The sequence below is a fragment of the Homo sapiens genome, chromosome 16 (genome assembly GCF_000001405.40).
Source record: "Homo sapiens chromosome 16, GRCh38.p14 Primary Assembly".
Lineage (NCBI taxonomy): Eukaryota > Metazoa > Chordata > Mammalia > Primates > Hominidae > Homo > Homo sapiens.
The window spans coordinates 87,480,864-87,493,489 of NC_000016.10; the positions used below are offsets into that span (position 1 = coordinate 87,480,864).

Here is a 12,626-nt window from a genome sequence, read left to right on the forward strand (position 1 = left end):
AGAGAACAGCCTCTCCAAGGGCACAGGAGAGAGAAAGCACAGTGAGTAGGAGGAACTGCGCCTACAGAGAGAGGTGTGTACGGACAGGCAGGGGACAGATCACAAAGGCCATGGCACATCATGCCAAGACCCGTAAGCCAGAAATGAAGCTCCTGCAGCATGCATTTGACGAGGACCATTCCAATGACACAAGGGAACTGATGTCAGAGGCTAAGAGGGGGCCAGTGACACCAGAGGGGGTTATGGAGGCAGACCCAGGCCAGGGAGACCAAAAAGGGTTACAGCGGGCAGACCCAGGCCAGGAGACTGGAATGTTAATGAGGCTAGACCTAGGTCAAGGTCAGAGTTGGGCACATCAGTGTTATTTCTAAAAAGAGTTAAGGTACCAATGCTTCTGAACTATTTAATTAGAAAATAAAATGGAGCAGCTATGAAGTTGTTTCTTGCAGACTTTAAACAATGACATCAACTGACTTGCATTCTAACACAGATTTCTAATCAGAAGCAAAGTGGAGTTAGGCTAGGCTGGGGCCATGCTGGTTTCCTGAAGACTATTCTAATCTCCATCCTGCTTCCCTGGCATACTGCCTCAAATCTAAGCCTGCGTCCAGAGAAGTGTGCCATGTATGTGAGCACCATGGCAAGTGTGGCAGGGAGAGAAACGGGGGGGGGGGGGGGTGGGGGGGGGGAAGGGTAAGCGGGAGGGGAAAGGAAGGAGAGGAAGAAAGGAAAGTACAGGGGGAAAGAAAGGGAGACCCTGAGGGAACACTGAACCGGGGCTGTAACGGTGTCACTGGAGACAAATCTAAAGATATTTAGGACTTGGTCATAAACCAGCTGGAGGGGATAAAAAAGGGCATCTCTATGACAGGCCTGGGCCTCTGGCTGGAAGGGATTAGAAGGGAAGGACAGAGCAGGTCAGGGTTGGTGTCTTGGTCTGTTTTGTGTTCCTGTAACAGAATACCACAGAGTAGGTAATTTATAAAGAAAAGAAATGTATTTCTTACAGTTCTGGAGGCTGCAAAGTCCAACAGCAACAGCCTGTATCTGCTTAGGGCCTTCCTGCTAGGACATCCCATGGTGGAAGGCAGAAGGGGAAAGGGCGAGAGAGCCAGAGAGCAAGCCAGCAAGAGGAGCCCCACACCGGCCTTCACAAAAACCACTCTCCGGTGACAAGGATATTACCTCATTGTAATGGCAGTGGCAGAGCCCTCCCGACCTACCCATGTCCCAACACTGCCGCACTGGGGATTAAGTTTCTAAGACGCAAACTTTGGGGGAAACATGGGAACCATGGCAGGTTGGAAGACAGAAACCTGCCTTTGCCACACTGAGCTACTGGGAACCTTCACTGGGAGCTGGAGGTCTGGTTGAGCCTTTAGGTTTTTTGGACTCATCAGTGTGACTGGCAAAACCACAGCTGAAAAGGTCACGAATTATAAAGCAAAAACAAAGAAGAAAAAGGAGAGAAGTCTGAGGAATAACATCATCAAAAGTGCAGGAAAGCAGAGGAAAAACTGAAAACAAATGTCCAGAGAAGAGGAAAACCAGCAGTGCCAGAACTGGCGAAGGCAGCGAGATCCCAGCCGGCCCGGCACACCCAGGCTGCAGAAGCCACCATCCGGGGCAGGCGCCTCACAGCCATATTTATCCCAAACAAAATCCCCCAAAAAAACCCTTCCTGGGGATTCCTCTGTGTAGGAAACCCACAAAAACGAACGAGAGGTAAGAAACAAAACCAAGAGTATCCAATGAACCTGGCCAACATGAGGTCATATGGATGGAGACATCCATGAAGCAGAACGCAGGGTCCAGAAGTGAACCCAAATAGATGTGGGAGTAAACGAGAGACAGCTCAGATCTGGGAGGGAGAGCAGAGACTATTTAACAGATGGCACTGGGACAAATGGGCTGTCATCTGGAAAATATAAAACTAACTTTGTACCTTATACCAAATCAATTCCAGATGGATCCGTTTGATATAAAAAGAGAATGACACAAGTTCCATACCAGGCGACACTGCAGGGGACTGTCTTCAGAATGTACGGGGCGTCATGTGTATTATGTATGCACAATACATGCATATGTATAATATGTATGATGAGAAACGCATTATACATTATGCATTATGACACAAAACCCAGAAGCCATACCAAAAAGGACTGATAAATATAGCATTTAAAAAAAAAGAAAAGAAAACAACTGCATGGCAAAGTCAGAAGACAAGATTAAAAACCCAGAAAACAAATACATGCAATTCCTACTAAAGACAATGCCTTGAAACTTACGGAGTTTCTAAAAACTAAGAACCCAGCCAGGCGCAGTGGCTCACACCTGGAATCCCAGCACTTTGGGAGGCCGAGGTGGGTGGATCTCTTGAAGTCAGGAGCTTGAGACCAGCCTGGTCAACATGGTGAAACCCCATCTCTACTAAAAATACCAAAAAAAAAAAAAAAAAAAAAAAAAAAAAAAAAAAAATTAGCCAGGCTTGGTGGCACGTGCCTGTAATCCCAGCTACTTGGGTGGCTGAGGCAGAAGAATTGCTTGAACCCGGGAGGCAAAGGTTGCAGTGAACCGAGATCACACCAGTGCACTCCAGCCTGGGTGACAGAGTGAGACTCTGTCTCAAATAAAGTAAAAATTAAAAAAAGAAAAGACCAACAACTCAACAGAGATGAGCAAAGGAGACAAACAACTCACCAAATATCAATGAAATCGTTTACTTGAAACAATATTCAACCTTTATCAACTCCTAAGATAAAACCACACCACACCAGGGCAAGTCTCCACCTAACTGTATGGCCGCAACCAGCAAGTGCTAACTCGCTGGGCTCGTTAAAGGTTAGGGAAACAGGCCTTGTATGTGGCTGTGGGAATTCTAAAAGCAGATCTCGGCAACAGGTAAAGTAATTACAAAAGCACAGACCATTTGACCCAACTCCACTTCCAGATTTCTACTCCACAGGTAGACTTACCTGAATGTGAAAGGTCCCATCTGCTGTCTGTAACATGTAGGTGATATGTATATAATATGTAAATGACAGTGCACTGGTTTGTAATAATACGATGGAACAAAATGTTATCTATAGGGCCTGATTAAATAACACATTTGTGCCACTGAACAAGCTCTTTATGGACTGACAGAGAAGCCTCATCTGGAAAGACTGCCAAGAGAAGACCAGGAGGCACCTGTGTGTGCAGTGGGACATCAGGTATCTACTTGTAAATACATATGGTTTCTCTGGAAGGTTCTACGAGGAAGTGTGCTATCTGCAAAGAGGGGAACTGGATGGCTGGGAAGAGGGTAAGAAACATGTTTTTTACACGTGAAATAAAAGTTATCAACACCCAGGGAAAGGAGAACCTTGCCTGACCCTTAAAACGTCCTGGGTGCCCTTCCGTGCCATCTGTGGGAGAAGGGACTTTCCATGCAGCAGCCTCTGGCACTTTTCCATTTCCTACCTCTGGTTACATTACCGATTTAAAACCTTTCTTCACTGAAGAGATTGCTGAATACTCTTCCGAAAAAATTGTTTTTGTCAAAGAGGTTCGAGGCAAAAGGCAGGTCACAGGACGCTGAGGAATAACTGAAGGTGAGGAACTAGAGACAGCAGGAGTGACTTCACGAAGCATGGCTGTGTTACAGCATGAAGAACAGCATGTATGTAAGATCCTACGTGTATCTAAGCGTGTATATGGTGTCTTGAAAGAACATGTGAACATATATGTGCACAAACATGTCTGGAAAGACACACACCAACCTATTCGCGGGTACCAGCGCCAGCCAGCGGGATGGAAGGCCTTTTCTGCTAGCTGCTCAGGGAGGCCTCAGTGGTGAAGCGACTAAGAGAAGAGGGGCTGGTAGAGACGAGCGGTGTTAAAGCCGGGGTTTTGTTGGCTGGTAGAGGTGAGTGGTGTTAAAGGTGGGGTTTTGTTGAAAACACAAATCAGAGAACCATTATGGTTCTCTGTTTATGGGTCAGGTGGGCAAATACTAGAGGTCAAAGATTGGATTGAAGGAGGGAGATAGAAATCACAAAGTTCAAACGCTGACCTACAAGTGACCCTGAGGAAACAGAGGGGTGTGACCAAACCGGCGGTGAGGGACCAGCCTTACACAGAAAGGAAACACAAGAGAAACTAAGGAGGTGTCCAGGCCCAGATAAGACATTTCAAGGGCGAATGATTTTTCTGTGAGCCTGCAAAGCACCCGCCCCACTGGCAAGCTGCGTAGTGAATGGCGGGCGGGGTCCACAGTGCCCCTCTCTAAGGGTGAACGGCTGGGTCCAGGGCTTTGTGGCCGGCATGTGAAGACCTGTCCTGCTTAATCATGCCCTGATCAGACATGACACACGGCTGCTAGAAGAGCAATTATTTGAAAGATACTCTGTCTTGCTTCTGTCTTCTCACTTTAAGTAGCTTCAGGTCTTTTAACCCAGAACAAAACAGAAACTGCTAAGAATTAACCTATTTTGTTAGTTCTGGATGATCTCTTTTTACCTTTGACAGGAAATGTTTCTACAATGTGTCAGGTCTCTCTACAATAAAAACATCTACAGAGACTGGAGAAAAAAATTACCTTGCTAAAACTAATTTCTAAACTGCGTATGTTAAGACTAAAGTCCAAAACCAAAAGCCCTTCAATAATGTACCCTAATTAGGTAACTTGCAGCTACACTTCTTACTTAAACTAACAAGATAACTACTGTTCCAACGGGCAGTTTTCCAAAAAAAAAAAAAAAAAGAAGAAGAATCTTTTTCTAAAATCTAATCCCTCTAAGGTGGGGGGCGGGGGAGAATACTAAAGCAGAAATTTTTCCTAGCATAACAAAAATTTCTTCGTCATCAATTCAACAAACAAAGATGCCCCAGCGCGAGTACCTCTTACTATTCTATTCTACTAGCTGGACTCTGAAGTTTTAAGACTCATGTAGATTTGTTGGAAAAGCATGTTAATTCAAAAGGTAGATGAAGTTTACAGGACTAAAGAGAAAATGGGTAAACTAAAGCCTAAGTAAACAGTACGCTTCACCTGCAGTGACAAGACTAACGCAGATGCCTATCTCCAGTTATCTTCGCACTTGAACAAATGATACCATCGTATTACTCATCATACCCAAATATGACACAGAATTTCCAGTTTCTACAACTGTGCTCCAGAACACAGTAGAAAACAGCAAAACTCAAATGTGTGTTCACCTAATGAGGCAAATGTGAACTAGCTCATGTCAAAGTAAATGGCCTTCATTTAATGTGAGGGCAAAGGACAGTAATTAAAGTACCACATAATCCAAGCCATTACACAGTAGATGGCAGTGCTACTGCAGCTCCATCATGGCATCAACAGAAATACTACCACCAAGAAAGCAATCAGAACTGCATCCCAGCACGGTCACGCACTGCATAAGGATGCTTCCACCACTGACAGACCACACGGACCAGGGATCCTCTAAGATTCTAATAATGCATTTTTACTGTACCTATTCTGTGTTTAGATACACAAATACCACTGGGTTACAACTGCCTATGGTATTCAGTACAGTAACACGCTGTACAGGTTTACAGCCGAGGAGCAACAGGCTCTACAATGTGGCCCAGAGGTGTAGCGGGTTCTGCCACCCAGGTCTGTGCAAGTGCACTCTGCGGTGCTCACACAACAAGATCAGCTGAGGACGCTTTTCTCAGAACGTATCTGTGTCCTTAAGCAGCACATGACTGTATGCCTCAATTCCCGTATCATGTACTGTACTTTACTATGAAACAGGACAGTGTTTTAGACCTGTAGCAGCTGGCCAAAAAATAAAAATAAAAATAAAAAAAGATCCACTATGTGTTAGAATATTATCTCCTGTATCTCCTGTAATGTAACAACAACAACAAAAAAAGCAATGTATACAAAGACAGCCAGAAGACTTAGTTCACAGACAAGTTCATAGACCAGGCGGTTCCCAGCTGCCCAGGAGAACAAGTGTTAAAGATGGAGACAAAACAGTGCTTTTAGGTCACAGCTATTCCTTTAACCATCAGTGACAACAGCTGCTCCAGAGAGAGTCCGTTCTTATGGAATGCTAGATGACTCTTGGCTGCAATAGGCCCAGAGTTTAGGGCTAAAGGAGAAACCAAAAGAAACCACTTATACTTTGCCTGATAACCAGAGGATGAACTATCCCATGTTTCACCTCTGAACTGCAATGATTTTCAACAGCTTACGAAAAGCAACGAAGCAAAAGCTGTTGCTGATCTTTGGACAGACATTTTCAGCAGGTTTATTCACGGTATTTGTGTCTATCTGAAGTTTCCACAGTGCTTATCCTCAGGCACTCACAATGCAAGCCACAGAGAGTTCCAGAACTGTTCCACAGAACCTACCCCTAAAGAAGACCACCACCCCACCACACTCCTGCACCAAAAACTTTAAAAACGTTATTTTTTTTAGTACCCCCTTAAAAAAATCAGCCCCATGAAGCAGTTCATTATCCATACCCTGAGGATGCTGAAACACAAACGGCAGGGCCCTCACAGCTGCAGCTCAGGCGGGGCCCCGCCCCTGCCCACCAGGCCCTGCTCCCCCATACCTGTCGCTGACCAAATGCACCAGCCCGGAGGCTCTGTACTGACAGCACAGAGTTCCCTGCCACCTCCAGCTGCAGCTCCCCAGGCTGGCTGAGGCCACACCTACACAGCTCTGCACACGGCACCTAGCAATCCACCAGGTGGAACAGGAGCCCTCAGGACAGCCCCGCACCGACACGTGCGCCAGCGGTCCACAGAGGATGCGCTAAGTGTTAGGCACAGTGCACGGGGGTGAAGACAAAGAGCCTATTAACCATGAAGACAAAAGTCTACAAAAGCAAGCATGTGAAGCAACTCCAAGGTCCACCCGCTGAAGAATGCGTGAGCACAGCTCGGCCTCTTCACACAGGGGAACGCCACTCGGCAGCGAAAGAGGAGGAAGTGCTGACACACCCACAGCATGGACGGGCCCTGACATCACGACACCGAGTGAAGGAAGCCAGTCACAAAGGGCCACACGGTGTGTGGTCCCCTTATATGCAACGTCCAAAAAAGACACCCATAGAGACAAAAAGGGGTGGTCAAGGGTTGGGGGGAGGGGGAATGGGGAGCGACTCCTAATAGGCACTGGGTTTCTTTTTGGGGAGATGGAAACGTTCAGTGGCAGTGGTCGTGCTTGCACAGCTATATGACTATACTAAAAACCACTGACTTCACTGTAAAAGGGTGAAGTATATATAGTATATGAATTCTCTTTCAATAAAGCTGTTATTTTTTAAACAAGAATAAGCATGTGCACATACCACAGCATATTAATTATCACTGACACAAAGAAAAAGCCGCAAAGGATTTATTTTAACTATTTCCAAAACTATGGTCTTTTATTTACGTAAAATAGGCATTGGAAAGTCTAAGCCAACTATCCCCCACAGTTGGCACCCTGGAACAGGCGACTGCAGGAGCAGCAAGCAGCAGCATTACCGGCCACTAGGCAGAGTACAACTAATTCAGCCTACCATCAGTGTGGCTACTGGAAGTATTTTTCTTTCTGAAAGTAAAATACAGGTATGTCTACTTTGTACTCCCCCCACTTTTACACCTCTAGAAGTCCTCAGAATAATAAGAATTTTTAAATAAAAACACAGGATTTGGACAAGGAATTGCAAATAATGACTATTTCGGAAAATACAGTTAAAATAAATTTAAAAAAAATTTTTTGAGACACAGTCTCACTCTGTCACCCAGGCTGGAATGCAGTGGCATGATCATACCTCACCTACAGCCTCTACCTCCTGGGATCAGGTAATCATCCCACCTCGGCCTCCCAAGTAGCAGGGACTACAAGTGTGTGCCACCACTCCTGGCTAATTTTTGTATTTTTTGTAGAGACAGGGTTTTGCTGTGTTGCCCAGGCTGGTGTTGAACTCCTGGGCTCAAGCGATCTGCCCACCTTGACCTCCCAAACTTCCGGGACTACAGGCGTAAGCCACCTTGCCAGGCCAAGAAATAAAAATTCAAATTGGATAAAGAATTTAAAAAGCCATTGACATTTGTATCTCTAAAAGAAAAATACAAAGTCTCTAAGCTCAAAGAGTTCAAAATAAAATACAACAGCTTACAAAAGAATGCAGACAGCTTTAACGGGGCTGCTTTTTCAGGAATACACCAAACGTTAGATTTAGAAACTAAGAAAGCAAAATACTTAAATGCTAGATTTCATCTGAGTTGCATGCTCCAAGCAATAAAGGGTTCATCAACGTCAGCCTTAGCTTTGAAGCAGCAACAGAAACGAAAGTTAAATGAATGGGGCTGAAATTAGCTTAGCAGTGACACTAGGGATGTAGGGAAAACTAGAAACCACGGTTGTTTTGAAATACGGAAATGACAGCCCAAGGTTACTCCTTATAATAATCCTCTCATTAAGGGTCACAGAATCTTCCAGTTTTCCAAAGATGAAACAAAAAAATTGTCAGCTCCAAGTAACTACTCAAAAACCAATTTAGAACACATAAACGCTCATAGCCAAGATGTAAATAATTCAATCTATAAAACATGCCTTGCTTTAAGTTAGCAAACCTCTATAAAAAGGAATGTTAAAAGCCGGAGAGGCCATAGAGGAGAAAGCAGCATTTACTGCACCTCTGCTGGAAGCTCATGTATGTTACCTATGTAATCCTCAACACAAGCCTGTGAGGTAGGTTACATCCCCTCCACTGCAACAGGGACAACACTGAGGGGCAGAAGGATCCTGGCCAAGGTTGCACGGCTGGTAAATTCAGCGCCCATGGCCTTGGGACTGGGGTGTAGCGGGGGAGGTGCAGGGGTGAGCAGAGAGGAATAGATTAGCCCCTTCATCTCATCAAAGGGATTTCTGCTTCACAGAAAGGCTCTCCTATAAAAGACATTTTTGTTCTAGATTTAGCTCACTGCCCAATCAAAATAATAATCACCACTGTCTGCATAAAGTGAGGCACCCGTGCTCACACATTAAGAATCCCCTTAAAGAGATGACGTTACTGTAGCAACAGCCATAGAAATTATTAGTGGGTGGAATCTACACAAAGGAGTAACAGCACATGAAACTGACCATAAATGACTGAGATTCCATGAATAGGTGACAATTTGCTGGCATGTCAAGGCTTACATGGATTACTATAAACAACTACATTTCCTAGGACCCTCTGCACAGCACACAGCCTGAAATACAGGGTGGGAGCCGAACTTAAAAAGAAAACTATAGTCTTGGAGGTAAATGTCACACACACAAAAATCAATTTAAAAAAACCGATGTATGTACTACAACCACTTCTTACAGGAAGACATTAAAAAAGAAAAGCCACAATCTACGATTGAAAGACAGCTTTAAAAACACACACATAAAAAACCTAGCAAACCAGACGGTGTTCTCAGCCACTCATAAAAGCAAAGTCTTATCAAAGTTTTAACTTCAAAGAGCTTAAAGACACTGCAAAGAGACACTGAGCAAGACTTGGTCCCGACTGCAACCTATTCCCTTCCAAAAAATAATCAGTTTGTAATCTAAATACACATCACACCAGGTCAAAGTAATCTCTTCCGGCAGCAAAATTTTGGCACTGGATTGCAGGGGGCTGTTCAAAATAGCTGGAGCCCCAGACACTTTGCGTTTTCAGTTCTGAAACACTTAGACAAAAGTTCACATCGCTAAGTGGATGGCCAGGACGCCCTTCCGGTTCAATTTGGAGACCGGAGATCTTTAACCTAACCTAACATTCCTTAAGGCATCGGTGCCCTCCCACTCAAAGTCAGCCTGGGTTTTGTTTCTAAGGGTCGCCAATAAATAGGTTTCACGGGCATTTAAGGCTCTGGGAGTCTTTTTCTGTCTGTTACAGGTAGCCCGGCTCTTAAAAACGATCACACACAACGTTCACAAGCATGTGCACATTCATACACACGTGTGCACATATACATGCCCACATGCGACACACGCGTACATCATACAGCATGCACGTGTCCATAAATGAGCTCACACGGACAGCCATGTCCCGCGCCCAGGCCCCCAGCGACACAGGCCCCAAGCAGGGCCTCCACCTGTGTGGAGGGAGCGGCTCAGACGGGGAAGCCCCAGCGCCTTGCAATGTTCACCTCACCGGCGGCTTCTGGCGTGGCCACGGCTCCTTCCTTTTCTGGTAATAAATACCAGATTTGGGGAAACCAAGGCGCCGCAATGTGTGTTATCTGTCACCCAAGGGCCCCATTAAGGGGACAAAGGCCTTATCGCGTTTGCAGCCGGCTAAGTGAAAGGAGGGCACCTGGGACTGTGAGCTCTGACCGCGGACGTCTCCCGCACCGCTCCCGCGGATCCTCGGACCCAGGGCCCCTGCAGCCGCTCCTGCCCAAGGGGCGCGAGGCGGAGGTGTGGAGGCTTTGGGGCACGCAGAGGGGACTGAGGGTGTGGGCTCAGGGCCGCGGTGCGGTCTTGGGGCTTAAAGTGCAGACTTAGGGTGAGGAGTGCGGGCTTAGGATGGGGGCTTGGGATGTACGGCGGAGGCTTGGGATGTACGGCGGAGGCTTGGGATGTACGGTGGAGGCTTGGAGAGGTGGGGCACACATTTGGGGTGCGACATAGAGGCTTAGGATGGGGCTTGGGATACGGGCTGGGGGCTCGTGGTGCAGGTTGGAGACCTGGGTGGGAGCTCTCAGTGCAGGCTGGAGGCGTGGGTCGGGGGGTCGCGGTGCAGGCTGGAGGCTTGGAGTGCAGAGTTGGGGATGCAGACTTGGGGTACAGGGCAGAGCTCGGGGCGGGCACGCACCTTGTGGCAGGCTGGGCAAGTGGGCAGCGCGCCGCCCGGCCCGGGCGCGCCCTTGCCGCCGTGGCCCCCGCCGCCGTTCAGGCTGCTCTGGATCTGCGTGAGCTCCTGGCGCAGCACCTGCTTCTGGTGGAAGCTGAAGGCCGGGTGGTTGGAGGCCATGGTGAACAGCAGCAGGAACTCATCGCCCGTGCGGCCCTCGTTAAGCTGCAGCCCGTAGTTGTGGATGATGGAGTCGATGTGCGTGAGCGTGCGGTAGAGCACGCCCGCCGCCTCGCGCTGCTCCGAGCCCAGCAGCGCCAGCGACACCAGCAGCTTGCTGCGCACCACCTCGTCCGTCAGGTTGGTGAGGCTGCCCAGGTCGGCCGGGTTGTTGGCCTTGATCTCCGAGTCGCGCAGCGAGTGGTAGTCCTTGCGGGCCAGGTCCTCCAGGCACGAGCCGAGGAAGCGAAGCTCGAGCGGGATGCACAGGTCCAGCAGGCCGCACAGGAACTCCACGCGCTGCGGCGACGGCAGCTCCGAGAACCAGCGGTACACGCCGTCCCTCTGCAGCGGGCAGCGCTTCTCCACCATGCTGCCGCCCGCGCCGCGCCGCGACCCGGGGCCGGGGACCGCGCGGGGGCGGCCGGGGGGCGCCGGGGGCCGCGGCCGGGGCGCGCCGGGACCGGGGACGCGCGGGCCGGGGCCGGGTCCGGGCGAGGGCGCGCGGGCGCCGCGGGCCGGGCGGGCGCCGGGGCGGGGGCGGGGACCGGGGCCGGGCAAGGCTCCCGTCAGGGGCCGGCGGGCGGGCGCGCGCGGGGCGCCGGGGGGGCCCGGGGCGGCCGGGGCGGCCGGGGGCGGCGAGCGGCCTCGGGCCCCCCGCTCACGGGGAGGCGCCTTCCCCGCGCCCGTGCCCAGCGGCGGCCGGTGCGCGGCGGCGGCGGCGGCTGCTCCTCGTCGTCGTCGTCGTCGTCGCCCGGGAGGCGGCCGCCCCCATCTCCCCCCGCGCCGCAGGGTCTGTCACTGCGGGCCGCCCCCCGACGGAGCCGCCCCGGCCATGCCGTCGCCGCCGCCCGCGCCTCCGCCCAGGCCGGCCGTTACCCCGGGCCGCGGGCGCGGCGTCGCCGCCTGGGGAGCGCTGGGGGCCGCGGCCGCGAAACGGACGCTGGAGGGGGAGGGACGCGCGGCGGGAGGCGCGGAGGGATCCGGCCGGGACTTGCCGGCCTTGCTGCTCCCGCGCGGCGGACGGATCCGGGCCCGAGCGCGGCGGCGGCGGCGACGGCGACGGCGACGGCGACGGCGACGGCGGAGGAGGCGCCGGCCGAGGAGCGGAGGGATCGTCGCGCTCGCGGCTGACGGGCGGCCGGGATCAGCAGAAGTGGGCGGGGTGGCCGCCTCTCGCGACAGCCCGGGCCTGCCGGGCCCGTCCCCCCCCCACTGATTGGCTCAGGCGGCCCGTTCTCGGCCCGTGATTGTGCCGGGTCCCCAATCCCATTCGCCCGTTCCGCGGCCACGCCTCCCTGGGGGCTGTCGATCATGTTGGGGCCACCGCCTCCCGTCCCTCGGCGGCCGTCAAGACGCGATTGGTCCGCGGAATCGGAGAGGCGGAAAACCCGGGCTGGATTTCTGGTTGCTTTTGTTCCCGCAAATTTGCGTGGAGCATTGTTTTTCGGCGAAAACGGGGCGTTCGGCCTTCCTGCTTTATTTTTGAGCGGTGTAAGAGGGAGGTAGTGGGTATCTTCGAGAAACGGCCGCCGCGGGGTCCGGAGCCCCGGGTTCCAATCCCGGGTCGGCCACTGCAAAGCTGTGTGACCTTGGGCGAGTCACTTGGCCTCTCTGAGCCCC

At 50.6% G+C, this 12,626-nt stretch overlaps 1 protein-coding gene across 3 annotated transcripts in view, besides 1 other annotated feature; it reads right to left on the bottom strand.

Annotated features, from left to right (window-relative positions):
* The window catches only part of ZCCHC14 (zinc finger CCHC-type containing 14), an 86,777-nt gene extending 74,616 nt beyond the window's left edge, over positions 1–12,161 (bottom strand). For all 3 annotated transcript variants that reach the window (XR_243401.4, NM_015144.3, XM_005255858.4), the window contains exon 1: positions 10,806–12,161. Coding sequence is in view for 2 of the 3 variants with exons in the window: in NM_015144.3 (NP_055959.2) it covers positions 10,806–11,375 (570 nt within the window). In the remaining variant the exon portion in view is untranslated. The remainder of the gene's footprint in view (positions 1–10,805) is intronic.
* Positions 12,100–12,279: a silencer, noted in NCBI's record as "silent region_7838". NCBI's record gives its function as "represses an Ori minimal core promoter by ATAC-STARR-seq in GM12878 lymphoblastoid cells {active_cell/tissue: GM12878}" and the evidence as "EXISTENCE:reporter gene assay evidence [ECO:0000049][PMID:35858748]".